At 41.6% G+C, this 27,890-nt stretch overlaps 3 gene segments (V, D, J or C) and 1 further gene, besides 9 other annotated features; all 4 read right to left on the bottom strand.

The window, feature by feature from the left end:
* Positions 1-27,890, bottom strand: part of TRB (T cell receptor beta locus) — a 514,277-nt gene that overhangs the window by 218,929 nt on the left and 267,458 nt on the right.
* Positions 847-855: a recombination feature (RSS_nonamer).
* Positions 856-878: a recombination feature (RSS_spacer).
* Positions 879-885: a recombination feature (RSS_heptamer).
* TRBV15 (T cell receptor beta variable 15) lies at positions 886-1,354 on the bottom strand. The segment is given in 2 exon segments: positions 886-1,180; positions 1,306-1,354. Coding segments are annotated over 2 exon segments (344 nt in total), but the record flags the coding sequence as incomplete, so codon positions are not given.
* Positions 5,961-5,969: a recombination feature (RSS_nonamer).
* Positions 5,970-5,992: a recombination feature (RSS_spacer).
* Positions 5,993-5,999: a recombination feature (RSS_heptamer).
* Positions 6,000-6,432, bottom strand: TRBV14 (T cell receptor beta variable 14). The segment is given in 2 exon segments: positions 6,000-6,297; positions 6,384-6,432. Coding segments are annotated over 2 exon segments (347 nt in total), but the record flags the coding sequence as incomplete, so codon positions are not given.
* Positions 12,893-12,901: a recombination feature (RSS_nonamer).
* Positions 12,902-12,924: a recombination feature (RSS_spacer).
* Positions 12,925-12,931: a recombination feature (RSS_heptamer).
* Positions 12,932-13,378, bottom strand: TRBV12-5 (T cell receptor beta variable 12-5). The segment is given in 2 exon segments: positions 12,932-13,229; positions 13,330-13,378. Coding segments are annotated over 2 exon segments (347 nt in total), but the record flags the coding sequence as incomplete, so codon positions are not given.

The following is a 27,890-nucleotide window of genomic DNA, read 5'->3' as shown; positions in this document are numbered from 1 at the left end:
TGAGGGATGTTAATTATAAGGTAATTTATAAATACATACTTCCATGTGACAATTTATGAGGTTGCAATATTTCTCACTCAGCATTTTATTTATCTTTGTTAAGGGGAGCAGGATCTCCCATCTTCTTCCCTCCTGTAGTTTTTCTTATTGACATTTGCTGGCACTCTTATGCACCTTAATGACATTATTACTCTCTTCTATACAGATGGCTCCATGATCTTCATCTCCAAATGTACTCTATTTTCAATATCATTTCTTTATGTATTTATGGTTTCCATTTGCTCATCTCAATAGTACCTCCAACTCCAGATATGAGCAGATTAATGTATGGTCTTCTCTTTTTTTCTCTCCAATGTGGTTTTACCTCTGAGAAATTTTTATCTTGGGATACTTGTGCTTTCATTCTCCCATTAATGAGGTAGTTGCTCCAGGTCTAGGCTAAAAACATGTGGATTCTCCAGGAGGATTAAATCCTATAAGAGTTCATCGAATGCCAGAGACTGGACTTTATAGACATTGGGTGTCCATAATTCTTCACATATCACCTCTTATATTTCTAAGCCTCTGACTTAGATTAAAACAATGAAAAAAAGAAAGAAAAAGTTCTTATTTGTCTTCTGAAAAGGACAGCATGGGTTCTAAATGTGATCCTGGGAAAATACCACCAACTGAATGCCAGGCATGTGTAACCACTTTTCCACTCTTGGCATAACTGTCAATGGTTTTTATTGGTTTGTGCTCAACTTCTGTCTACAGATATTGACAGCCACCAACCCACTTCCTATTGTTGTAAGAGGTGGTGAGGGAGAAGTCCTAGAGAAAGCACCTGGATCTGGGAAACAATGAGGTTTATGAACAGAGAGCAGGAAGCACTGCAGCTCTGTGTCTCTGCTGGTGGCACACAGGTACATGGCTGCGTCCCCCAGGCCTGGTGAGCGGATGTCAAGAAAGCAGAAAGAAGTGTTCGGCCTCCTGGATTGGAAGTTATCAGGGGTGTCTGCTTCATTGTTAAAATCTTTGTCATAGTAGTGGAACAGCAGCTTTGGGGCCTGACTTGACTTCTGCTGGTACCAGTACATGACGTTATGGTTCAAAGTCTGAGAACAACTCAGGGTCACTGGCTTTCCAAACTGGGTAACCTGGTATCTTGGGTTCTGGATGACCATGGCATCCCCATGACCTGTAGAGAAAGAAGACAAATTTGGAGTCAGAGTTAAGGAGGACAGTGTTACTGCTGTGAATGAAAGGTGCAGACTGAGGACAAGATAGCTTTGCTCAAAGATTTCCTTTCTGCCCGGTACTCACCTGTTCCAAGGAGACAAAGGGCCATCCAGTGGAGAAGCCCAGGACCCATGGCAGGAATACCACCCCATACAGGAATGAAGCATCTGTCTGTCTCAGGCTCTGATTCCTGGGTTGAGAGGTGGGAGTTTAGAGAGTCTCCAGTCCCTGATAGGCAGATTGGCCTGTGATGACTGTTGCTGTTGACTTTACCAGGGCCGGGGTCATTCCTTGTTGCAATGTGATACACAGCTTCCTACTTGGCAGGTACATGGGCTTGTCTGGAACAGGGATGGAACAGATATTTATTTTCTATATCATTTGCTGCTTCCTTGAGACAGGTGTCCCCATATTTGCCCCTGTCCCTGTCTCTGTCCCGTGTTCATCCAGTTCTCCTCACTTTACCTCACTTTTCTCACATCCTAAAAAGCAGCCCAGAGGTTTCTCCATAAAGATAGTATTTGCTAAAGTCTCACTCAATAACCATTAAGATAGTGCCTTGGCTTTTTGCTACTCACATTAAAGATGCATGAATGTGATTAGGTATTAGTGTATTTACTATAGAAAATTAATTTCTATTTATACCATGAAAATATATGTTAAAATATTGGTGCCTAGATTTAGGAAAACTGATGATTACGTAATACTTGGAATACAGAGATACATGTGGTAAGTAGGGTCTGTATCTGACCTAGTCCAGGAACTGTGCAAAATGATACTTGAGAAGAGGGGCCTTACACCTGTAATTATTGTAGGTGTCATCTAGAGCTTGGCTGCTCATTGTGGTCCATGGACTGGCAGCTTTGGCATCACTTGGACGGACTCTTGTTCAAAATACAGGGAACCTTAGCTCCAACCCTGACTGATTGGATTAGAATCTGCATTTTAACAAGGTCATAATTTACATGCACATTAAAGTTTGAGGAGGCCTGGGCTAAGAGGATTTTTAGAGATGGTGGAGAAATATATGCAGAGCACGATGTTGAGGACATATTATAAGAAATGATATTATGTAAGGATTGTTCAGATAGAATGAATTCCATGGTGGCCTTCCTAAGGATATTATTTCTTTTTTGTCCTAAAGTAGACAATTAGAAGTTGACTTTTAGAAGCTGGACTAGCTGCCATGAATCTGTACCTTTCACTGTTCTGACTGAGAGAAGAATAAGGATCACCCATTTCAAGTCTGAGATAGCAATCCATGATTTTTTAGTGGTCTAGGAAACTGTAGAAGACTCACTATTATGAAGATGCCAGTTCTTAAATTAATATATGGTTTTAATGTGATTTCATTCAAAATATCAGATTGGATAAGGCTGATAATAATTTTCATAAACATGAAAATTTTAAGCTGTATCATAAATGATATTTGTAGGCACAGTGTGGCAAACAGTAGGAAATACTTGAGGCTAGAGGTGACTGTTTTCAATGTTCCCATGGCCTGGGTCTTGCCTGACTTCCATCATGGTCGAAGGGATTATTACAGCAGCATGCCCATTGTCCATTCATGGAACCCCATTGGTAAGCTCTGTCTACCATCACAGGGTGAGTTTGGCCCATCTGTGTAGCCAGCTTGGTCAGCATCGTATGTGTGTAGCCTCACCATCCTCACGGCACCCTGCTGAGTCCACTGCCAACACCACTTCAGGACAATGAGAGTTATGGGCACCATGAAGCACTGAAAGTCTTTCAGTTCCATCTGATCCAATCATATGCTGTGCATTTATGACTGTAGACACTTAAATGCAGACAGACATGTTCTCTTAGGGATTCTGTAAGAAATACCTTGTTATTTCTTGCAATTTGTTCTGGGTGTGGCCTCATTTGGTGTCATGCCCAGGGGGCTGCTTCAGAGTTACCATCTCTCACGTGTCCAGGCTTAGGATGAATTTCCTGTCATAGGGTGATAATTAAGGGAGAAGCCTTACTAATGAAAGGCAAAACATAAAGGCCAAGGGCAGCATGGGAGGAGAAGACCTGGATCCCTCATCCTCCTATCATGCCAAAGAGAGGTGTGCTGGGTGCAGGGGTCCGGGCTGCTTAGCACTAGACATTCCAGGTTTGAAGTATCAGCTGTTTATAGGAGTTGCCATCCTTGACTTCTTCATGTATAATTTAAATTGCAGCTTTTATCACTTCCTGGAAAGTGTAAAGACCTTAGAGCCCTTATCTGCATTTATTCTTTCCATCTTTTATGCTAGCATTTTTCATTATTTATAGCTAATCTAAAAATAGCTAATATTTGCAACAAGAAGACATATTTGAGGCTTAATCAGAATAAAAGTTGATGTTTTGGAGTGTGCTCGAAAGTTCTGGAGACCTAATGGACAGCATGGTGACTATAGTTAATGATTATTGTACACTCGAAATTTTCTGAGAGTAGATCATTCTCACCATACATATACATACAAAGGTAACTTTGTGAGGTGATGGTTATGTTAATTAACTTGAGTGTGGTAATCATTTTGCAATGTATATGTATATCAAAACATCGCCTTGTATACCTTAAATACCTACAATTTTTTTCTGTCAATCATACCTTAAGAAAGATTAACAAATAAAAAAATTCTAAAAATTGTACCTAAAGATACCACTTGAGCTAACAGAACTATAAAGAGAACCACTGTGTGCCCCTTATAGGATAGAACATTCGGTGTCTATAGTATGAAATGGCAAAGCACTGAATTAAACTTCTGCTTGTTAGATTTTGGAGTTGAGGCAATGTACCCACGAGGAACTTGTTTTGCTTCATAGCTGCTATTTTTAAATATAATGGAGAGATTACAGAGTGGAAAAATAAATCAATAATTTAGTTACTTATTATGACCTTAGATTACATAACACAATAAAAGGAAAGGCACCAGTTAGGGTTCTGCAGCTGAAATTTTGAAGAAAAACTCATGTCCAATATGTGGCTATGCTTTAAAAATCTATTTCTCTTTGTTCTTGTCATACTAAAGGAGTTCATCGACAAGTTTCAAGCAAGATATGAGTTTGCGATGCCTGTGACAGAAACAATATACCTATTCATATTACATGTCCACATAGAAAGAGAGAGTACTGATTATCTAAAAATTGGATCTTGATCATTAGAAAAGGAAAATGGGTTTTAAATTGTTTGAAAAAATTAAAATCCAAGCCCACTTGTAATATTTTCTCACTATCCATTTGCCTAATCAGGATTAGGATGAGTTCAATAATAATTTGAGGTGCTAAATAACAATCAGACTGGGAAAATGAAACTTATTATTAGAGTGAATTTCAGGACTGTTTGCAAAAACATGGCTGAAACATGAGCAGAATATTGGAATCCAGATATTAAAAGAAGGCAGTTGAACCAGGTAGAATGTATTATACCATTAGGTCTCATTAAAAATTACATATTCCAGGCCAGGCATGGTGTCTTATGCCTATAATCCCAGCATTTTGGGAGGCCAAGGCAGGAAGATCACTTGAGCCAAGAAGTTTAGGACCAGCCTGGGCAACATAGTGAGACCTGTCCCTACAAAAAATGCAAAAATTAGCTGGGTGTGGTCATGCACACCTATAGTCCCATCTACTAGGGAGCCTGAGGCAGGAGGACTGCTTGAGCCCAGGAAGTCGAGGCTGTAGTGAGCCGTGATCACACTGCCATGGCACTCCAGCCGGGGTGACAGAATGAAACCCTGTCTCAAAAAGAAAAAAAGGCCGGGCACAGTAGCTCACACCTGTAAACCCAGCACTTTGGGAGGCTGAGGCAGGCAGATCACTTGAGGTCAGGAGTTCAAGACCAGCCTGGCCAACATGGTGAAATCCCGTCTCTACTAAAAATACAACAAATAGCCAGGCATGGTGGCAGGCACCTGTAATCCCAGCTACTTGGTAGGCTGAGGCAGGAGAATCGCTTAAACCCAGGAGGCAGAAGTTGCAGTGAGCTGAGATTTTGCCACTGCACTCCAGCCTGGGCGACAGAGCAAGACTTCGTCTCAAAAAAAGAAAAAGAAAAAAGAAAAAAAATAGGAATACATATTCCTATTGCAGCAACTGGAAGTGATCTTAAAAAATGTTCTGTATCGGCTGACAGATATCTATTTATAGTGCTAACTATATTTTTTACATTAAAAACTCAGACCCTATGTGAACAGAAAATTAGCATTAACCTCTGATAATGGACTTAGCTATTCCACTCTAAAATGAGATTGTTTTAAAGTGGTTGGAAATTTATAAATGCTAGACAAAAGCAACCTAAACTCATCACCACCATTACCAACGTCACCACTACCACCATTGCTAGCATCATCATTGAGCATCCTAAAAGCCAGTAGTAAATGCATTTTTATTCACTATTTTTATTTTCATCAGAAAGACTTGTTTCTCTTACTATAAGAAGGGATATAAAGATGTGGCCTCACAGTCAGAGTCACAAACCTTTCAGAGCAGCAAGATAGGCAAGAAGTCTGCTTTATAACCAGGGCAACATACACTTTAAAAAATAAAAATAAATATGAGAAACACATAGTTTGAGTTCTGTTTAAAAAACTTCAGAGATCCCCCAAACCACAAGTATTTTCACCCAAATCTTCTTGGAATACTCTTGTATTTCATGAGTTAATTCTGGTTCTTTATCTCCCCTCCCTTGGGGGAGAAGGCACAGGGAAAGCCTTCCTTTTGGGCAGCTGTGAGTTGAGAGGAGAAGGCTATGGTTTTGCACAGCAAGGGCACGACTGTGAAGCACTGTGTCTTGGCTGCTGGCACAGAAATAAACTCCAGAATCCTCCAGTTCTGCAGGCTGCACCTTCAGAGTAGAATACGTCCCTCCAGTCCTTTCAGCTAAGAATCGATTGTTGGGCATACCGGACTCATCCTGTTTAGACTCTTTCACAAAATGTAACAGAAATTTTATTTCTTTTCCCATAACACGTCGATACCAATAAAGATTATCATGTCCAGAAATTGGGTCACATCTCAGAGTCACAGTCTGGCCCTTCTCTATTACGCTGTGGCTGGGGAACTGAGTAACTCCAGCTTCTATGTGCTCTGTGGGAAGAGACAAAAACAGAATACATGACATGAATAGACTGGGATAGGGTACAGCACAGATATTTAAGTACCTGAAGACTCACTTGCTCCCAGGAGACAAAGGGACACTAAACTGAGAAGCCTGGAAACCATGGCAGGACCCAGGTAAATCACATTTCCAGATGAAGGAGCTTACAAGCATGAGAAAAAGGAAAGCAAATCTGTCTCTTGGCCCTGTAAGATGTGGCCTCCAGTGACATCAGCATATTAGCCAATGTCCACAGTCTCAGGAGCTCCCTCTACGGACATGAAACATAGAAGACCTAGCCAGGGTTCTCTGAAGAAGATTGCCTCTAGAGGGGGCAATGGAGAAAAACTGACATCAATTAAAATCAACCTGTTTATGCATTTGACTAGGTGTTAACCTTATATATACCACTCGTAGCTCCTGAGTCTGATGTCTGGATCCTACCTCATCCCATCTGGCCCTGTCTTCCCTCATGTATCACATCCCCATAGACTGTGGGGCATTTTAATCTACGGTAGCTATTGTTGCTATTGCTAATGATCAATACTTACCTCCAAATTCTCTTTTCCCATTATCTCTCTAATGCACTCCAATCAACATTTTCCCCCCACCACTCTCAAACAGCATGCTCTAAACATGAAAGATTATCCTCAACTTTACTCCACCAACAGCCTTCCAGCTGAAAACCTTAGAGTGGTTCCCAAATCCTCTTTTTCTATCCCACCCTATAGCCAATCCATTAGGAAATTCAACTGGCTCTATCATGAAAATACACTCAGAATCCATCCATTTTTTCATCACCTTCTTTGCTAACCCTCAGGACAAGGCCACCATCATCTTTTTCCTGGATTACTGCAATAGATTCCTAACTGATCTCCCTGCTTTCACCTACTTCTGAACTAGCTCTCAAACTCAGCCCTCTAGAACATGCTAGATCATGTCACTCATCTCCAAATCATCTACTAGCTCCCAGTTTTATTTGGAATAAGAAAACAAAACAACAAAGCACTTAAGGCCATCAAGGTCTTAAATGATCCATCCTGCCCCATTACCGCTTGGAAATAAAGCCTACCACTCCCTTCCTTAATTTTTCAGTCATATGGGCCTCCTCATTGGTCCTAAAATATTTTTTTAGGGTATTTGTACTGGCTCCTCCCTCTGCCTGGAATTCTTTTCCCCCAGATACCTACATGTCTCTTTCCTTCATCTCCTTGAAATCTTTGCTCAAAGGTCACTTCCTCATTGGGCCCTACTCTGAACAATGTATTGTCATTTCAACGCTCCTTACTCTGACAGTCCTGGTCTCCCTCACCTTAGTCTGCCTTTTCTTTTCTGCATTGCAGGTATCACCTGCTAATACACTATATGCCTTACTTATTTGTTTATCTCTGTCTCTCCCTCCCCGCAAAAATGTAAACATCAAGTAGACATGAGTCTTTGTCTTTTTCTTTTTAGTATGTGCACTGAGAACATAAAACAATGCCTTAAATTCTTTCAAGAGGAGGTACTGCTGGAATAAAATCTTGAAAGGAGACTAGACTTTTCCAATGAACTATGGAAGGCACACCCCAGACAGGGGGACATTGAAGTCTCAAAATTATTTTCTTTCATTATAGTTTGAGATGGGTGTCAGATAAAAACATGACAGCAAGGTTTGCAGAAAATATTATAAGAACATGAGTTTCTTGGCCTAGTCTCAGGTTAACTGGACATATTGGAGTGTGTTAATTTTGAGTGGCTGCTATAAAAATTACCACAAAGTTGCTGGTTTACAATGACAGAGATTTATTCTCACAGTTCTGGAAAAGTCCAAAATCAGTATCAATGGACCAAAATCCAGGTGTCATCAGGACCGTATTCCCCCTGGAGGCTATAGGAGAGGATTCGTTCCTTGCCTCTGTTTCTAGTGGCTGCCTCACTCCTTGGCTTGTGTTCACCTCACTCTAATCTCTTCTCCTGTGGTCACATTGCCTTCTCTTCTCCATTTGTGTCTGATCTCCCCCTGGCTATCTCTTATAAGGACACATGTAATTGCATTGAGGGCCACCAGGCTAATCCAAAATAATCTCCTTATCTCCAGATCCTTAACTTCATCACATCTGTAAAGTCTACTCTCACCATCTAAGGTAACAGAGGCAGATCCCAGGGATTAGGATGTGAATGTCTTTGTGGGGAGGGGTATTACTCAGCCAGCCACACAATACAAAATCTGGCTTTTGGAAATTCTCACAGGTATCATTTTCCTGCAATAGTAATGCATCAACTTTAATCTTTTGTACTTAAATCTGACATGGACATTCTCTTCACAATGGAGCCTCAATATTTGCCTCCTCACAAAACTAGCTTTGGTGGAGTCTGTGTGGCCCAGCGTGCTTGGGATTGTGCACAAAGGAGACTACAGAGGGAGCCCCTGTCTCAGAGAATCATCAGAGAAGCTCTAGTGATGGGCTTCTGAATGATGGGCTTCTGCTCAGCCTCCCTCACCACCCCTCCACCTCACCACGTTTAGGATGCAGTGAAGCAGAGGTCAAGAGGAAGAAGAGGTTGATTCTAGGTCTAACTGAGAGCTCCAAGACTGGGGAGTAAGGACAACTAACAGCAGCTTCACAAATTGGCTTGATAGGGACTCAGGTGACCCAAAGCTGGAGAATTGATGTCCTGTGGCTATAACAATACTACCAAGTGACTTTATATCCTTCATCCAACACCCACTAGTGCTAACATCACACAAACTAAGAATTTGACATTGGCACAACTAAGCTAGACTGTACTCAGATTTCCCCAGTTTTTCTAATAATGACCTTTTCCTGCCCTAGCACCTAATCCAGGATCCCATACTGCATTTAAGTGTCATATCTTCTTAGTGTTCTTCAATTTGTGACAGCTCTTTCCTTGTTTTTAACGATATTGACATTTGAAGATTACTGGTCAGGTGTTTTGTAGAATCTCTTTCAGTTTGGATTTGTTTGATGCTTTCTCATTATTAGACAGGAATTATAGATTTGGGGGAGGAATATTACAGATATGTAGTCACATGATAACATCACAACATTGCATCATAAGAGAATGCACATGAGGTTAACAAGACTTATTATGGGTCATGTTTATTTACTTTGGTCACTCGGTTACCATTTTTCTATTTCCCATGTCTGTTCATTAGAGGCAGGCCACTGAATCCAGGAGAGGGGAATCTAGAGGGATGAGTATAAAAGAATGTGTGGGCATATGTTAAAACCACCATATTAATTAATATTTTGGGGATGACACTTTGTGACTGTACAAATGATCCATTTCTTCTTAATTAGTTATTAAAGTTATTAGTTATTAATTAGTAATTAAAATTAGCTACACCCACTAATTTTAGCACTCACTATTGGGTTTTATGTGTGGCAGTTACTCACAGTGGTGTTGTCACAGTGACTTTTCTATTTCCCTCTGTTTCTTCTACATATGCAATTTGGAATTCTTCAGTAAGAGATTGTCCTTTCTCACATTTTTTATTATTTATTTATTTATTTAATCGTTTCATTCTCAGTGTGAACTTGTGAATTTTCTTTTACAAATTGTTCCAGCCTTAGTCATTGGGGAAGCTCTTTCAGATTGATTCCTCTGTCCTTTTGAGATATGTCCCATCCTTTTTTTTTTTTTTTTTTTTTTGGAAAACCTCATTACAACATTCTTGTATTTTTTACCTCAGGGTCCTAGAACCACCTTTCATTTTTTTTTAATTGGAGAATAATATTTGGCAACAAACATCTGTGCACTAGTGGTCTTCTAAGTGGACAGAAGTATGAAATACATGTATATATACCAACCCATTATTCACACAGGTATGTATTCATTTCTTTACCATTGTATCTATACGTTTAAAAACAATAAATTCATACTGATATCTCCGAACAGGTATTCTTGTACATTAGAAATATTCTTTAGTTTTGCTCTGAGACTTAAGTTACTTGGAAACAGTTTGATATTTTGAAGTCTCACCCACATAGGCCAGGAGCCAAATGTGGCTTATTTAGTGAAGGGCTTATTTTGCTTTTATACTGAGGCATAAGTCATCTGAAACCTCTACTGATTGACCCATGAATTATTAAGTTTCCCATTCTCAATGCAAAAATATACATATACATATATATATGAGAGTAATATATGTATATATTACTCTCAGCCCTTTGTGAGCTCCAGGCATTGTTTCCTCTAATCTTGCTGAGTGGCTCTTTCTCCAACCTTAGGGAGTTTCCTCACACATGTACTGCTTACAGCACAGCTGAAGGGTTAAGGGAGACCCTAGGAAGGTCTCCAGGATTCTCTCTGTGCAGCAATCGCCTTTTCAATGGCCTGTCATGTGAAATCTAGCTGCTTTGATCTTGTATTTCCAACTCTGACTCAGCTCAGTGAGATCACCCAGCTCTGCTTGGATTCCTCTTTCTGGCCCAGGGCCTGGAAACTCCCTCCAGGTATTAAGACAGTCATAGTTCTCAGCTTGGTTGTTTCCATCTCTCAGAGATCACTGTCTTCTGTTGCCTACTTCCAATGTCTTGACAACCGTTATTCCACATGTTGTGTGAATGTGTGTGTGCAGGGGGACAGGGTGGGGGTTGGGGTGTTAGCTGTTTCAAGCAAGAAGTTAAATCTAATTCCCGTTAATCTATCTTGGTTGGAAGCAGAAGTTTACTCCAGAACCGTATTGAATCTCTTAATGCCAGGGTCTCCAAGGGTTTTAATGGTTATGGACCTTTTTGTCAGTTTTTGGGTATATGGTGTACATTCCATGCAGAGTATATTTCATTCCAAACACATGTGAGACACAGTCTGAAGATTCAATTTTTCTCTCCTAACTTTTCCTTTTTATCTATCACCCAAAGGCCTGACCAAACATCCAGTTTCCAATTATGTTTCTGGGTCTTTGGGGTGTAATACTTTTACTTTATAAAGCCTGGGAGCATTTTGAAGCTCCAGGATTAAGGCAAGCAATGTAATTCTGGCTGTTTTCTGTCATCTCTTTCATATGGACATTAAAATCCCAGCTCCAGCTGTGAGGCCTATACCGCTCTGAAAACTTACAGGTCTTTATAATTTTAAATTCCCCTTAATACTCTGCCTATAAGCTCTCGCTTTTTTTTTTTTTTTTTTACATAGTAAATTCCTTTTTCTTTTTAGTTTGTTTGTATATTGTTTTATAGCAGTGGTGTTGTTTTAAATTTTGATGGTAAATAGTGTATCAAATTTAAAAAGCAAAAATTTTAAACAAAGACAAAGCTAATCATGTTCTTTCTGCTCTTTCTATATTTTATCTCTCCAAATAACCAGCAAAATATATCACAACTTTTTTTCTTCCTTACCCAAGCATATAAAACTATATATAAACTTAACAGGGATATTTATTGATTTATTTTTTCTTAAATAATTTTATGTGCCATGGATTATTTTGAAAATATTTTCCCCTTGGAAGTTCATCTTTATCATTCCTACAAGAGAATGGATAAATATGCCTATTCGGCATTCTTTTAACTTTTTTGTACGTATGAAGTGAAGTGCGCACACACATAAAAGTGATAGAATCATACATTCTGGGTGCATAACTTTTTTTAGTACTTCTATAATTGTCAAAAGTATAACTATAATTGAAAGATGAAACTGATGAACTCATTAAAAGGTAACAAATTATTTTAATAGAAGAAAAGTATATAATTTTATATGCATAGAGGGACTTACAGACCTCAAGACACACTGTATCGTTATAATACTGCTTGACAAGGGTAAGGGACATTTTATGTTCTCTGTGTCATTGAAAGGGGCACAGAGTAGGCCCCATTTTATTTTCCAGGTAAGAAACAGAAAAAGAAAAGAGCTGAAGACATATGCAAAATTTCACAATCACCTTGGAACACATAGTCTAAGTCAGATAAGGAATATAGTACATGAGGAGATGATATATGGTGCAATATTTGCAGGAGAAGTCAATTAGTGGTCCTGATGGGGTTGAAGAATTGCTGCAGAAGTAGTACCAGAGATGAAAAGAGAAGCCCGCATGAGACAATGGGATGCTTGAGGAAACTATTTGGGGGTAATTCAAATAATTTGTCATTGGAATCTAGAAAAAGAAAGTGGAAATGAATATCTGACACAAGGTGAAGGAAATGATCATTTGAAGTGAGCAAGTGAAAAAACTGGGAAGCCAATATTGATGTTGGAAGTCATCAAAGATGTTGAAAGTTTTAAGGTAGAAGAGAAAAGAAATGGCAAAGAAGCCATAACGGAAAGCAGCAAAGGAGATAAGCATCCATGTGCAATGGCTGCACAGTTTTAAGCTCACTCAATCACTTGAAAGCTCCAGTCTGTGACACTCGCCCTCAAACTTGGACTCAGGCACCCTTGTGAGAAGTATGTGTGGAATCCCAGGAACCATCACACCCACTGACTTCCTACCAAAAGTTTCCTAACGTGATGTGTCCTTATGACCTGTTCTTGCCTTGCCTAGGGACATGTGGAACACGAAACCTATGTACTTCCTGTGCTAGGGGAGGAGCAAGAAAGGCTGCTGAGAGCTGCTGGGTACTGGAGGAGAAGAGGAAGCACCAGGGTTTCTGCACAGGGAGCAGGTGATTCTGCAGCGCTGTGACCAAACCACTAGCACAAAAATACACAGCTGAGTCCCTGGGTTCTGAGGGCTGGATCTTCAGAGTGGCTAAAGTTGCATCAGGCATCTCTGCTGAGAATCGATCCTTCGGCATCCCCGAATCATCTAGAGGAGCCCGGTTGCGGAAGTAAGCCAGCAACTCCAGTCCTTGCATCATGGTCTGTCTGTACCAGAAAACAGTATTGTGGCCTAAAATTGGCTGACATCTCATTGTTACTTCTTGTCCCATCTCTGTCACCTTGTGCCTTGGTGTCTGGGTGACTCTAGCATCTATAAGCTCTGTGAAAAGAGATAGAATTTGGGGACAGAATAAGAAACATAATTGGAATCATAACTGGCAATATCCAAAAATGCAGGTGCTTTATTTGTGGGGACTCACCTTCTCCCAGGAGACAAAGAACCACACAGCAGAGGAGCCTGGTGGCCATGGCAGGGTGGGGCAGGTGGAGCCTTCACCTAGATGAGGCCCTTGTGGGCACGAATACAGGAGCTGAGGATTCTAGACCTCTCACCCAGAGTAAAAGGGGGACTGTCAGTGACATCACCATCTCTGTCCCTGCTCAAAGGACCTTCCTCCAAAGGTGAATGCTAAGTCTGTACAGAAGATTGACTGAAATAAATTACAATTACTCTGGGATGTGTTTGGTTCACTCAAAGACTCCAAACATCCCCATTAGCTGTCACCTCTCCTGGCTGCAGTGCTTCTGTGGCATTGCACATCACATCACCCATTCTGCTTTCTCTGACGCGTCACATATTGATCTGCCTGGTGCATATTGCCACTTAGGTGTACCATCAGCACCTCAAATTCTGGACATCAATAAATTACTTGTGAAATCTCAAGAACTTTATTGTTCCCCTTACCGGCCATCCTTATATCCCAGACACACAAAATCAAAATAATGTGTTGCTTAGTTAGAGCTTTGCCCCATATCCCTCCTGGAAGCATCTGGACCTCCATGCTCCTCATGCAGAGAACAAGGTGGCTGCCCTGGAAAGAGATAGAACTGTGCAGATTTTATTTCCAGTGAGGGCTGGAGATGGATACTCTCGTGCTCCGTGACTCCCCCAGCCCACAGCACAGTGTCTTCTGCATTTCTGGAGGACAAGGTCCCATTTCGCTTCTCCAGGGTAAGGTTCAAAATTATGTTAATTCTTTGGGCATGGGTGAAGATTGAGCAGTGATAAGTAAGAGCTTTGACCTTCCTTGAAAACCACAATAAGGCACTCTCCAGTTAAATGTGATCTTCCTCTTACTTCTAAGAAAGCACTAACAGGTTCCTTTAATGATTAACACTTGAGTCTCTTGTTATAGTAAGTCAACCAATACTCACAAATAAATTCTTTCTGGTGAGGGGGTGAAACTCTAGAAAATGGCCTGCTTTTTAGGGTATAAATAGTAGTAAGAATTCTGTTCATAGAGTGGATGTGACACACTAGTTCCATGTCTCTGCTGTTGGCACAGAGATTTTTCCTCCAACACCCCAAAGAGGGGAGTATGTCAAGTGACAGAGAAACATATGACTGGCAGGGTGAGAAGTTACAACCGTGATATTTTTGTAATGTTAGAGAATCAGCAGTAACCACTCCTTTCTGGTCCTGTATTTGTTTGTGTATGTGTGTGTGCTGGTGGGGGGTCTTGTGCTTTCTGCAATCAGGTGTCTTCAGACTCCATAGCATCCTGAGATTTGTGGATGGAGAAGGCAAAACCTAGATATAGGGCTTAGGAAGGAAGATGAAAACACAAACATAGAAAACACTTTGATTCAAGGCCACAATATTCTAGGATAGGGATTAAAAAAATTTTTTTTTAGCATATCCAGGTCTAACCTCTTCCAGGGTACAGAGTCATGAAACAAAGAAACTGTGAGCATATAACAAGAAGAGCACATGAGTGAGGTATCTCCTTCCTCTGTGCTCTGATCTTCAATGGAAAATGAAATCAGAATTTGGGACACCACAGGCCCTGGTAATTTTTCTGATGATATTAATGTATTTGTCGGCTTATGAGGAATGAGGAGCCCTCTGACTTATACCACAGTTAGGCTGTCCTTCTCAGGCCCTGACTTAAAGCCCCCACCACATCAGCATGATGGAACCAGGCTAGGTTTAAAGGAAAGCCCATTCCAACAGCTTCCCTCATGTTCCTGAAACCGTTGCTGTCTCAGTGATTGGCATTAGCTTATGAAACAAGATTCTTCTGTGTTTCTTTTAATGAAGGCCACTTATTTGAGCAGGAAGAGGCTTCTGTGACTATACTGTCACAGAGATGACCCTGTCCCACTCTCACGTAACATTAATATGTTGAGCATTACAGGGCAGGGTCCTTCTCTACCATAATATTGGCCACAATTGTTGCAGCCTACCTTTGTGCCACCTATGAAAACATTTCTGTGGGTTAGTGAGAGTTAGTTTGGAGGATAAAAGGAGATAGGAATCATGTGTGCTCTTTTACTTCTTCTCTTTCTGACCCAAAAAAACCCCCTATAACTTTTTATTGTAATTCGAACTGCATTGTACTAGTGGTATATCAGTGGCTTCTTTGTCTGACAACCATCCCAAACTTGCCTAAAATCCCAACCTCACTATTGGTCTTAGCCCATTCGCACAGGTTTAGAAGTTTTGGGTCCTCCCTTCTCTTTCCAGTGCTTTTTCAGTGCTCAACAGGTAGGACTCATGATTCAGGTACCAAGCCTGAGCTTCTTCTTAGTTTCCCACGGCCTGACAGTCCTCTTAGCAACTCTAAAGTGTCAGTGAGTGGTTGTGGCACTGAAGTGTCTCCTGGTGGCCAGAAGGACTCAGTCACTAAAAATGAGCCCTTTGTCAAGACCCAAAGTAATATATGCTGTGTTACATTGGCACAGTGGTCATGCGCAGGGGTAACCACTCTTTCTGACCTAAGATTCAAAACACCTGAGAGAAAAATACTCATGTCAGATCAACTGAAGTGGAAATGTGAGCTTTGATTCTGGTAAAGAAGGGGCTGAGCTTTGCAGCTTATTGGGCTAGCTAGCATTCTCCTGAATCGAATATGCCCTTCCATTACCTTTTCCTTAGCGGACAGGATCCCCTACTGAATAAAGAGTTGGCTCACTACTTTTTTTTTTTTTCTTTTTGAGATGGAATTTTGCTTTTGTTGCCTAGGCTGGAGTGCAGTGGCATGGTCTCGGCTCAATGCAACTTATACCTCCTGGGTTCAAGTGATTCCCCTGCCTCAACCTCCCATGTAGCTGGGATTACAGGCTTGTGCCACCATGCCAAGCTAATTTCTGTATTTTTCATAGAGACGAGGTTTCACTATGTTAGCCAGGCTGGTCTCTCACTCCTGACCTCAGGTAATCCACCCGCCTCGGCCTCCCAAAGTGCTGGGATTACAAGCGTGAGCCACTGGGCCTGGTCTAGCTTAAGCTGAATTTCTAGAAGTTTGAAAGGCTTTGTAAATTTGTCCTGTTCTTTCTCAAGCACATGTAGTATTAGCAATATTCACTAGAATTAAATTCCTTCTTAAATTTTATGTTTGTACTTGTCACTAGTCTTTTCAAAATATTCTAGATTTGATCTCTGTGGTCTTCTCTATTGAGAGATGTGCAATTAACAATGTCTGGATCCTCTAAAGCAAGCACTATTAAGATAAATATTGAATATCTTTAATTTCCTTGGTTGAGCAATTGTATCTAAAAGGTATTCTCATTTTTTGTTTGCCTGCTTTTCCTTTAATATGTTCCATCTTTCTTACACTTTAAGAATCATAATTTTAAAAATAATTAAGCAGGCTCCTTTCAAGCACAGGCTAGAGCTGAACATCAAATAATTTGAGAGTCTTCAATTGATGTCTCAGGGCATCTCTTCTCAAAAATGTCCAAATTGCATATAACCCTTTATATAGTGTTGATTTTAAGTCATTCCTTAACAAATCCCCAAATCCTGTCTTCCTCTGTAAAGTTTATCTAGTCTCCCCTCTGAGATCCTGTATCTTTGTTTTTCCTCCATGAAGATTCTTTACATCCAGTTATCTTGCCTGCCTTAGTAACAACCAAAATAAATCTCTTCTAATAACTCCTTGAGAGCAGTTGACCCTGAGTGCATTTCCTCTTCCCTCTAAAATTGATCTTTCCTGGATATGAGAGCCTCTTCTTTCTTTCTTTTCTTTTCTTTCTTTTTTTTTTTAATTGGGGGTGAGGTCTCACTCTGTCACCTAGGCTGGAATACAGTAGCATGCTCTTGGCTCACTGCAACCCCTACCCCCTAGGCTCAAGTGATTTTCCCACCTCAGCCTCCCGAGTAGCTGGGACCACAGGCATGCACCACCAATCCCCAGATAATTTTTTTTTATTTTTAGTAGTGATGGGATCTCACTATGTTGCCGAGGCTTGTCTCAAACTCCTGAGCTCAAGTGATCCGCCTGCCTCAAATTCCCAGAGTGCTGAGATTACAGGTGTGAGCCACCACACCCGGCCGAGAACCTCCTCTTTCTTTCATATGAGAAATATGTCTTCTAAGAAGTTAGAACTATTCCTAAGGAAGTCTTGTTCCTCTTCCATTTTAATGAACCTATATTTTTAATTTTGGTTATAATAGTTTATAAATGGTTAAAAGGAATCCAGTCCCCAAATTCTTGTGTTTGAATCCCTCTTTCCTCCATTTACTAGCCATGTGACATGAAGAAAATTATGTATCTTCTCTCTACTTCAGTTTACTCTTCCATAAAATAAGGCATTCTAAGTAGATGCTGAATATTTTCTACTTGGAAAATGAACCCACTTGAAATGCCCAAAACACAGTAAGAATTATATAAAAGCTTTCAATTTTAAATATTCTTCCTTTGCTCCTGTTCTGATGATCAGAAGGAAGTATCACTTCAAAATACTGTAGTGTCTCATCCATTTTCTTAGCAAATTAAAATTCTCCATAACAAGTATTCCAAGCACAGGCATTCTTTTAATTCTGCTCTCAGCTTTTGTAATAATAATGTTGATTGATTTTGAATCTTTGTGTGTACATGCTCTAATTTCTTTCAGAGTCCTCCTCATTACATTTTCTTCAAAGGAGAGAGCCTTGACAGGTGTGCTTACTATCACATACTCTAAATTATTTCTGTCTAGGAGCTCACAGTTTATGATAGCTCACTCTCTTTAATTTCAAGAGTCTTGGAAATATACATTCTCCCATAACAAGCCACCTGATGAGGCAATTCAAATGGTTATCTTCTTTTTTTTCTTCGACTTTTTTTTTCTTTGATTCAACTTTATTTTTTTTATTTTTTATTTTTTTTATAGTATTTATTGATCATTCTTGGGTGTTTCTCGGAGAGGGGGATTTGGCAGGGTCATAGGACAATAGTGGAGGGAAGGTCAGCAGATAAACATGTGAACAAGGGTCTCTGGTTTTCCTAGGCAGAGGACCCTGCGGCCTTCCGCGGTTTTTGTGTCCCTGGGTACTTGAGATTAGGGAGTGGTGATGACTCTTAAGGAGCATGCTGCCTTCAAGCATCAGTTTAACAAAGCACATTTTGCACCGCCCTTAATCCATTTAACCCTTAGTGGACACAAGACATGTTTCAGAGAGCAGGGGGTTGGGGGTAAGGTTATAGATTAACAGCATCCCAAGGCAGAAGAATTTTTCTTAGTGCAGAACAAAATGGAGTCTTCCATGTCTACTTCTTTCCACACAGACACAGTAACAATCTGATCTCTCTTTCTTTTCCCTACATTTCCCCCTTTTCTATTCGACAAAACCGCCATCGTCATCATGGCCCGTTCTCAATCAGCTGTTGGGTACACCTCCCAGACGGGGTGGCGGCCGGGCAGAGGGCTCCTCACTTCCCAGACGGGGTCGTGGCCGGGCAGAGGCGCTCCCCACATCCCAGACGGGGCGGCGGGGCAGAGGCGCTCCCCACATCTCAGACGATGGGCGGCCAGGCAGAGACGCTCCTCACTTCCTAGACGGGATGACGGCCGGGAAGAGGCACTCCTCACTTCCCAGACTGGGCGGCCGAGCAGAGGGGCTTCTCACATCCCAGAGGATGGGCGGCCAGGCAGAGACGCTCCTCACTTCCCAGACGGGGTGGCGGCCGGGCAGAGGCTGCAATCTCGGCACTTTGGGAGGCCAAGGTAGGCGGCTGGGAGGTGGAGGTTGTAGCTAGCCGAGATCACACCACTGCACTCCAGCCTGGGCAAGATTGAGCACTGAGTGAGCAAGACTCCGTCTGCAATCCCGGCACCTCGGGAGGCCGAGGCAGGCAGATCACTCGCGGTCAGGAGCTGGAGACCAGCCCGGCCAACACAGCGAAACCCCGTCTCCACCAAAAAATACAAAAACCAGTCAGGCGTGGTGGCGCGCGCCTGCAATCCCAGGCACTCGGCAGGCTGAGGCAGGAGAATCAGGCAGGGAGGTTGCAGTGAGCCGAGATGGCGGCAGTACAGTCCAGCCTCGGCTCCGCATCAGAGGGAGACCGTGGAAAGGGGAGACAGAGAGGCAGAGGCAGAGGCAGAGGCAGGGGGAGGGGGAGGGGGAGGGGGAGGGGGAGGGAGAGGGAGCTCTTCCACTTTTATTTTAAGTTCCAGGGCACCTGTGCAGGAAGTGCAGGTTTGTTACATAGGTAAACATGTGCTATGGTGGTTTGCTGCACAGATCATCCCATCACCCAGGTATCAAGCCAGCATTCATTAGCTTTTCTTGCCTCATGCTCTCCCTCCCACTAACGGTCTTCTGACAGGCCCTAGTGTGTCTTGTTCCCTGTGATGTGTCCATGTGTTCTTACCATTCAGCTCCCTCTTATAAGTGAGAACATGCAGTGTTTGGGTTTCTGTTCCCATTAGTTTGCTGAGTATAATGGCTTCCAACTCTATCCATTTCCCTGCAAAGGACATGATCTCATTTCTTTTTATTTATTTATTTATTTATTTATTTATTTATTTTTTGAGATGGAGTCTTGCTCTGTCATCCAGGCTGGAGTGCAGTGGCACGATCTCAGCTCACTGCAAGCTTCGCCTCCCGGGTTCATGCCATTCTCCTGCCTCAGCCTCCCGAGTAGCTGGGACTACAGGTGCCCGCCACCACGCTCGGCTAATTTTTTGTCTTTTTAGTAGAGATGGGGTTTCACTGTGTTAGCTAGGATGGTCTCAATCTCCTGACCTCGTGATCTGCCTACCTCGGCCTCCCAAAGTGCTGGGATTACAGGCATGAGCCACCGTGCCCAGCCTGATCTCATTTCTTTTTATGCCAACATATAATTCCATGTTGTATGCACCACATTTTCTTTATCCAGTCTATCACTGATGGGCATTTAGGTTGATTCCATGTCTTTGCTATGGTGAACAGTGCTGCAATGAACATACACATGCATGTATCTTTATAATAGAATGATTTATATTCCTTTGGGTATGTACCCCATAATAGAATTGCTAGGTCAAGTGGTATTTCTGCCTCTAGGCCTTTGAGGAATCACCACACTGTCTTCCACAGTGGTTTAACTCATTTACACTCCCACAACAGTGTAAAAGTGTTCCTTTTTCTCTGCAACCTTACCAGCATCCATTGTTTTTTGACTCTTATAATAGCCATTCTGGCTGTCATGAGATGGAATCTCATTGTGGTTTGATTTACATTTCTCTAATGATCAGTGATGTTGAGCTATTTTTTAAATGTTTCTTGGCCACATGTATGTCTTCTTTTGATAAGTGTCTGTTCACATCCTTTGCCTACTTTTTAATGGGGTTGTCTGGTTGTTTTTTTGTTGTAAGTTTAAGTTCCTTGCAGACTCTGGATATTAGACCTTTTTCAGATAGATAGATTGCAAAAAAAATTTCTCCTATTCTACAGGGTGTCTGTTTACTCTGATGATAGTTTATTTTGCTGTGCAGAATCTCTTTAGTTTAATTAGATTGCATTTGTCAATTTTTGCTTTTGTTGCAATTGCTTTTGGCATGTTCGTCATGAAATCTTTGCCTGTGCCTATGTCCTAAATGAGATTGCCTACGTTTTCTTCTAGGGTGTTCATAGTTTCGGGTTTTACATGTAAGTCTTTAATCCATCTTGAGTTAATTTTTGTATATGGTGTAAGGAAGGAGTCCAGTTTCAATTTTCTGCATTTGGCTAGCCAACTCTCCCAACACCATTTAGTAAATAGGAAGTCCTTTCCCCATTGCTTGTTTTGTCAGGTTTGTTGAAGATCAGATGGTTGTAGGTGTGTCGTATTATTTCTGAGTTCTCTATTCTGTTCCATTGGTCTATGTGTCTGCTCTTGTACCAGCACCATTCTGTTTTGGTTACTGTAGCCTTAAAGTATAGTTTGAAGTCTGGTAGCATGATTCCTCTAGCTTTGTTCCTTTTGCTTATGATTGTCTTGTCTATTTCTATTCAGGCTCTTTTTTGGTTCCATATGAATTTTAAAATAGTTTTTTTTCCTAATTCTGTGAAGAACGTCAATGGTAGTTTAATGGGAATAGCATTGAATCTATAAGTTACTTTGTACAGTATGGCTATTTTCACAATATTGATTCTTCCTACCCATGAGCATGGAATGTTTCTTCATTTGTTTGTATCTTCTCTCATTTCTTTGAGCAGAGGTTTGTAGTGGGCCTTTAGTGCAATACATTTCCCTCTTAACACTGATTTATCTGTCCCAGAGATTCTGGTACATTGTCTCTTTGTTCTCATTAGTTTCAAATAACTTCTTGATTTCTGCCTTAATTTTGTTATTTATCCAAGAGTCATTCAGGAGCAGGTTGTTCAATTTCCATGTAGTTGTGTGGTTTAAGTGAATTTCTTGATCTTGAGTTCTAATTTGATTGAACTGTGATCTGAGAGACTGTCATGATTTCAGTTGTTTTGCATTTGCTGAGGAATGTTTTACTTCCAAATATGTGATCGATTTGAGCAAGAGCCATATGATGATGAGAAGAGTGTATATTCTGATGTTTTCAGGTGAAGAATTCTATGGATATCTATCAGTTCCACTTAATCCAGAGCTGAATTTGGGTCCTGAATATATTTGTTAGTTTTTGGTCTCAGTGATGTTTCTAATACTGTCAGTGGGGTGTTAAAGTCTCCCACTATTTTTGTGTGGGAGTCCAGGTCTCTCTTTGTAGGTCTCTAAGAACTTGCTTTATGAATCTGGGTGCTCCTGTATTGGGTGCATATATATTTAGGATAGCTAGCTCTTCCTGTTGAATGGAACCCTTTACCGTTATATAATGCCCTTCTTTGTCTTTTTTGTTCTTTGTTGGTTTAAAGTCTGTTTTGTCAGAAACTAAGATTGCAACCCCTGCTTTTTTCTGTTTTCCATTTGGTTGGTAAAATTTCTTCCATCCGTTTATTTTGAGCCTATGTTTGTCTTTGCATGTGAGATGTGTCTCCTAAAGACAGCATATCAGTGAGTCTTGGTTCTTTACTCAGCTTGCAATTCTATATCTTTTAATTGTGGCATTTACCCTGTTTACACTTAAAAGTTAGTATTGTTATGGGTAAGTTGGATCCTGTCATTACTATGCTACCTGGTTATTTCACAGACTTGTTTATGTGGTTGCTTCATAGTGTTGCTGGTCTGTGTATTTCAGTGTGCTTTGTAGGGCTGGTAATGGTTTTCTTCTTTCCATATTTAGTGCTTCCTAGAGGAGCTCTTGCAAGGCAGTCCTGTGGTGACAAATTTCCTAAGTGTTTGCTTGTCTGAAAAGGATCGTATTTCTTCTTCACTTACGAAGCTTAGTTTGGTCAGATATGAAATTCTGGGTTGGAGATTCTTTTCTTTAAGAATGTTAAAGAATAGCTTCCAACCACTGTACTTTATAAGGTTTCCACGGACAGGTCTGCTGTTAGTCTGATGGGCTTCCGTTTGTAGGTGGCCTGGCCATTCTCTCTGGCTGCCCTTAACATTTTTTTTTCATTTCAACTTTGGAGAATCCGATGATTATGTGTCTTGGGGTTTATCTTCTCATGGAGTATCTTACTGGGGTTCTCTGCATTTCCTGAATTTGAATGTTGGTGTGTCTTGCTAGGTTGGGAAAGATCTTCTGGATCATATCCTGAAGTATGTTTTCCAATTTGACTCCATTATCCTTATCTCTTTTAGGTACCCCAGTCAGTCATGGGTTCAGTCTCTTTACATAATCCCAAATTTCTGGGGGGTGTTGTTCATTCTTTTCCCTCTATTCTTGTCTGCCCCTCTTATTTAAGAGAGATAGTGTTCAGACTCTGAGATTCCTTCTTCCACTTGGTCTGTTCTCCCACTGATACTTGTAATTGCATTGTGAAGGTCTTGTGTTGTATTTTTCAGCTCCATTAGGTTGATCATGTTCCTCTGTAAACTGGTTATTCTGGCTGTCAGCTCCTGTATTGTTTTATCATGATTCTTAGCTTCTTTGCATTGGGTTACAACATGCTTCTTTAGCTCAGCAAAGTTCATTATTACCACCTTCTGAACCCTACTTCTGTCAATTCAGCCATTTCAGCCTCAGCTCAATTCTGTGCCATTGCTGGAGAGGTGTTACAGTCATTTGGAGGAGAAAAGGCACTCTTGCTTTTTAAGTTTTCAACATTTTTGTGTTGATTCTTTCTCATTTTTGTGGGCTTATCTACCTTCAATCTTTGAGCTTGCTGACCTTTGACCTTGGATTTTGTGGGGTCCTTTTCATTGATACTGTTCTTGTTGTTTTCTGTTTTTTGTTTTTCCTTTACTAGTCAGGCCACTTTATTGTAGGGCTGCTGTGGTTTGCTGGAAGTCCGCTCCAGACCTTAGTTGCCTCGGTTTTTCCCATACTGGAGGTATCATCAGTGAAGGCTGTGAAACAGCAAAGATGGCAGCCAGCTTCTTCCTCTGGAAGCTCCATCCCTGGGGGGTACTGACCTGTTGCTGGCCAGAACACACCTGTAGGAGGTGGCTGGAGACCCTGTTGGGAGGTCTCATCCAGTTGGGATGAACAGGATCAGGGGCCTGATTAAAGAAGCAGTCTGTCTGCTTTTTGGTAGAGCAAATGTGCTGCATTATGAGGAGGCTTTCTCGTCCAGACCATTTGGATTCTGCAAAGCCAACAGGCTAGAAGGACTGAGTTGACTGAACTGCAGAGATGGAGGCTGCCCCTCCCTGCCAGGAGCTCCATCCCAGGGAGAGATCAGAGCTCTCAATGTAGAACACTGGCTAGAATGGCTGAAGCCTCCACAGGGAGGTCCTGCCCACTGAGAAGGGATGGATCAAGGTCCTGCTTAAAGAAGCAGTCTGGCCATGATCTGGCAAGGCAGCTGTGCTGCATTATGGGGAACCTTTCCTCATCCAGACCATTTGTATTCTCCAAAGCTGGCAGGCTTAAACAGCTAAGTCTACTGGACTGCAGAGATGGTGGCCACCCCCTTTCCCCAGGAATTCATACTTATCTCAGGCAGATTCTAGGCTGTTGCCATTGGCTATCTGGAATTCCAAGCCAGTGCGTCTTAACTTGTGAGGTGCTATGGAAGTGGGGCCTGCAGAATGATGCTGCTTGGCTCCCTGGATTTAGCTCCCTTCCTAGGGTTATATGTGGACAGATTTCCTGCCTTGCTGGGGATCCTGAGGCTGGAATGTGTAAAACTCCTGGGTCTCTGTGTGTGCCTGAGCAGCTGCTCTGCTAAGACTCCATGCAGCTCTGTGTACTGGATCCAAGGCCCTGTTGTTGTGGGCTTGTGAGGGGATCTCCTGATCCATGTGTTGCAAAGATCTGTGGGAGAAGAGTCGTTTCCTGGGCAGGGTCACACAATCACTCACTGCTTCCTTTGGCTGGGGGTGGGGGTTCCTTTGGCTCTGTGCTGCTCCTGGTGGGCCATCATGCCCCACATCCCCTGCTTTTCTTTGTTCTCTGTGGGTTGAGTTGTTTGCCTAGACAGTCCCAGTGTGAGAACCTGAATATCTCAATTGACAGTGCTAAATTCACTCACCCCGTTTCATTCCTCTCCCTGAGTGCCATGGACCACAGCTGCTTCTAATTGGCCATCTTGTAGACCCTGAATAGTTATCTTCTTACTGTCTGAAAGACTTAATATCAGGTTTGACCCTTCATTAAAAAAAAAAAAATTGGCCAGGCACTGTGGCTCATGCCTGTAATCCCAGCACTTTGGGATGCCAAAGCAGGTGGATCACCTGAGGTCGGGAGTTGGAGACCAGCCTGACAAACATGGAGAAACCCTGTCTCTACTAAAAAAAAAAAAAAAAATTAGCCGGGCATGGTGGCACATTCCTGTAATCCCAGCTACTCAGAAGGCTGAGGCAGGAGAATCACTTGAACTTGGGAGGCAGAGGTTGCAGTGAGCCAAGATTGTGCCATTGCACTCCAGCCTGGACAACAAGAGCAAAACTCCATCTCAAAAAAAAAAAAAAAAAAAAAAATTTCACCAGTGAAGGAGAAGTTTGTAATCATCCAGGATTTGGGAAAATATCCAGACAAGAGTAGCTGGCATTGTATAGCTAAGTATATGATGGAGAACCCCAAAACTTGCAGCCACACGATGCAAAATACACACTCTGTATTTGAACTGAGGAGCGAACACAGTAATAGGTCTGTCACTAAACCCAAATAAGTCTGTTGGATGTTACTAGTCTATAATTAGAATAATCTACTGGTAATACTAAAAGGACACGTCTATTTTACATGAAAAGTAATTTTCCCTGCATATTACATATTTTGGGAAACAACACTGTTGAATTTGTGCTTCTATGTCCAAGAATGACCAAAGGTTGGTGAGTGAGCCTCAGTAAAGGTCGGTGAATCAGACTCAGTAAAAGCCAATGACCACACTGGGAAGTGACTCAGAGACACCAGAAATAGTTCATAGGACTCGATATGCAAGCAGGAAATGCAAAGACCATGGTATCTTCAATGCCTAATGCAGTAATATCTCTAATTACTGGAATTGCAAAAATGTTTAAAGAATTACTAATTCAGGATGGTAAACTGAGTACCTTCCCATACAAAAGAATAAAAAATAACAATAAAAAATGCTGAAAACAAGAAAAGATATTTTTCAGAATCAGAAATGTTAAGGGCTTCTGGAGGTTTGAAAGCTGCTGGGAACTGTGTTCATGTGTAAATCAAAATATTAAACAGAACAAAGACATCAGAGTTGAGCGACACTCTTCATAAAAAGAACAAGCTTGGAATTAGTAATGGTCTATAGGATTATGGTTAGGACAATTTTAAGAAATCGATATTGCAATATAGAGTATATCAATTGACACCTGCACAGTAATGCTGTATAACAAGCCTCACTCAAATCTCACTGGTTAAAGCAATAATAATTTATTATTGCTCATGAGTCTATGGGTTAAATAGACAGTTCTGCAAATCTCGAAACAGTCATAATATTCCTTTGTTGGATATGTAGTTTACAAATGTTTTATCCATTGCTGTGGCTTCTTTTTCATCCTCTTAACAAGGTCTTTTACAGATTAAGTTAAAACCGGAGAATTCCCTTATCCTCCTCGCAGGACATGTGACAGGGGGATGGCTCACTTCACTGGTGCCCCAGTGCTCAAACCCCTAGGGGGAGCATGCAGACGGGCAGGTGCAGAGGCCATGGGGAGTGCTTTTGGGCTCCCAAGGGATGGCACCGTCTAGGACTTATAGTGCACTCTTTCAGCTATGCCGTCTGCCGTCTGCTTGCATTAGTCAACTCAATAGACCCTCTGCTTATTGCAAGGACAGGGGGCCAATGTGACAGCCTGAGCTCTTGACCAGTGTACTGGAAGAATCAGATCATATGTGGGCTGAAAGGTTGAGTGCAAGCTTTTATTAAGTGGTGTAAGTGGCTCTCAGTGAGATAGATGGGGAGCCAGAAGTCGAGGGATGGAGTGGAACGGTGGTTTTCCCCTGCAGTTGGCTGCCCAGTGGCAGGACTCTCGCAGACTTCCCCTGGCTGAACTCCCCTCGCATTCGTGTCCTTCCGCCATCGCTGATCTGCCGGTGTCTGCTGCTGTATTCTTCTGCTCTTCTAGATGTCCAGCCTCTTGTGTCCGTGTCCGCTTAAGGTCTCGGGTTTATATGGGCACAGGATGGGAGGCGTGGCGGGCCAAAAGGCAACTTTTTGAGTGCAAAAACAGAAACGCCTGTCCTCATTTAGGTCTGTGGGCACAGGCCCGAGGGTGGAGCCCTCACCAGGGACCCCGCCCTTCTCTACCCAGCACTTCCCTGCCCCCAGTCTTGTATCAAAATGTTTTTAATTTGAATGAGGGAAATCTTTCTTGGAAGATTTAAAGTGGTGGGGAATGTGGACTTAAATAGAAGCAAAACATATCTTAACCATATTTGAGCTTCTGAACTTCCTCACCTTCGAAAGTATGTAAAAAATAGTTTAATTTCTATAATCTGCATGGTTGTTTTGTTCCTAAAATGTGTATCTATTTTACTCCACTGTGAAAATAGAGTATATAGAACCATTTCCTGCTTCATAGAGAAAGAAGCATTCAGTAGTGTCTTGAGTGACTAGAAGTATTGAACAATATGAAGAAGGTAGCAGAAATTGCAAGAACAAATGTATGAACAGGCATTAAATTGTGTAAGACTGTTTTGTAAGGGTATGAAGTGCACTTGATAAAGTAACATTTATCTTACTCAGTAGTCAAAAATAAGATAAGATATGGTCCAAATGTTTTAAAATTCAAATGCCCTCCCGAGGTGACATTTTTATCTGGTGAACAATGGAGAATTGTTGAATGTATAAAAATTGAAAAGTGGTTTTAGGAAAATGATTGTGTCACTGGTAGAATAATTCAGGCTTCTTGCAGGCCTGACTGGGATACTTGGGAGAAGGATGTTCCAAGCAAAGGGAATAGCTTGAGCAAAGGTTCTAAGGCAGAAGTGTGCCTTGTGTATTCGAGGAATGGCCAGAAAGCCACTGTGTTGTGAAAAAATAAGCAAGGGAAAGAGGAACAGACAGGAGGCAAGAAATACAACAGGGAGGGGGATCACCGAGGACCTC

The sequence above is a fragment of the Homo sapiens genome, chromosome 7 (assembly GCF_000001405.40).
Source record: "Homo sapiens chromosome 7, GRCh38.p14 Primary Assembly".
NCBI classification, from domain to species: Eukaryota; Metazoa; Chordata; class Mammalia; order Primates; family Hominidae; genus Homo; species Homo sapiens.
The sequence above is the reverse complement of the archived record's forward strand: the minus strand, read 5'-3'. Positions and strand labels throughout refer to the sequence as shown.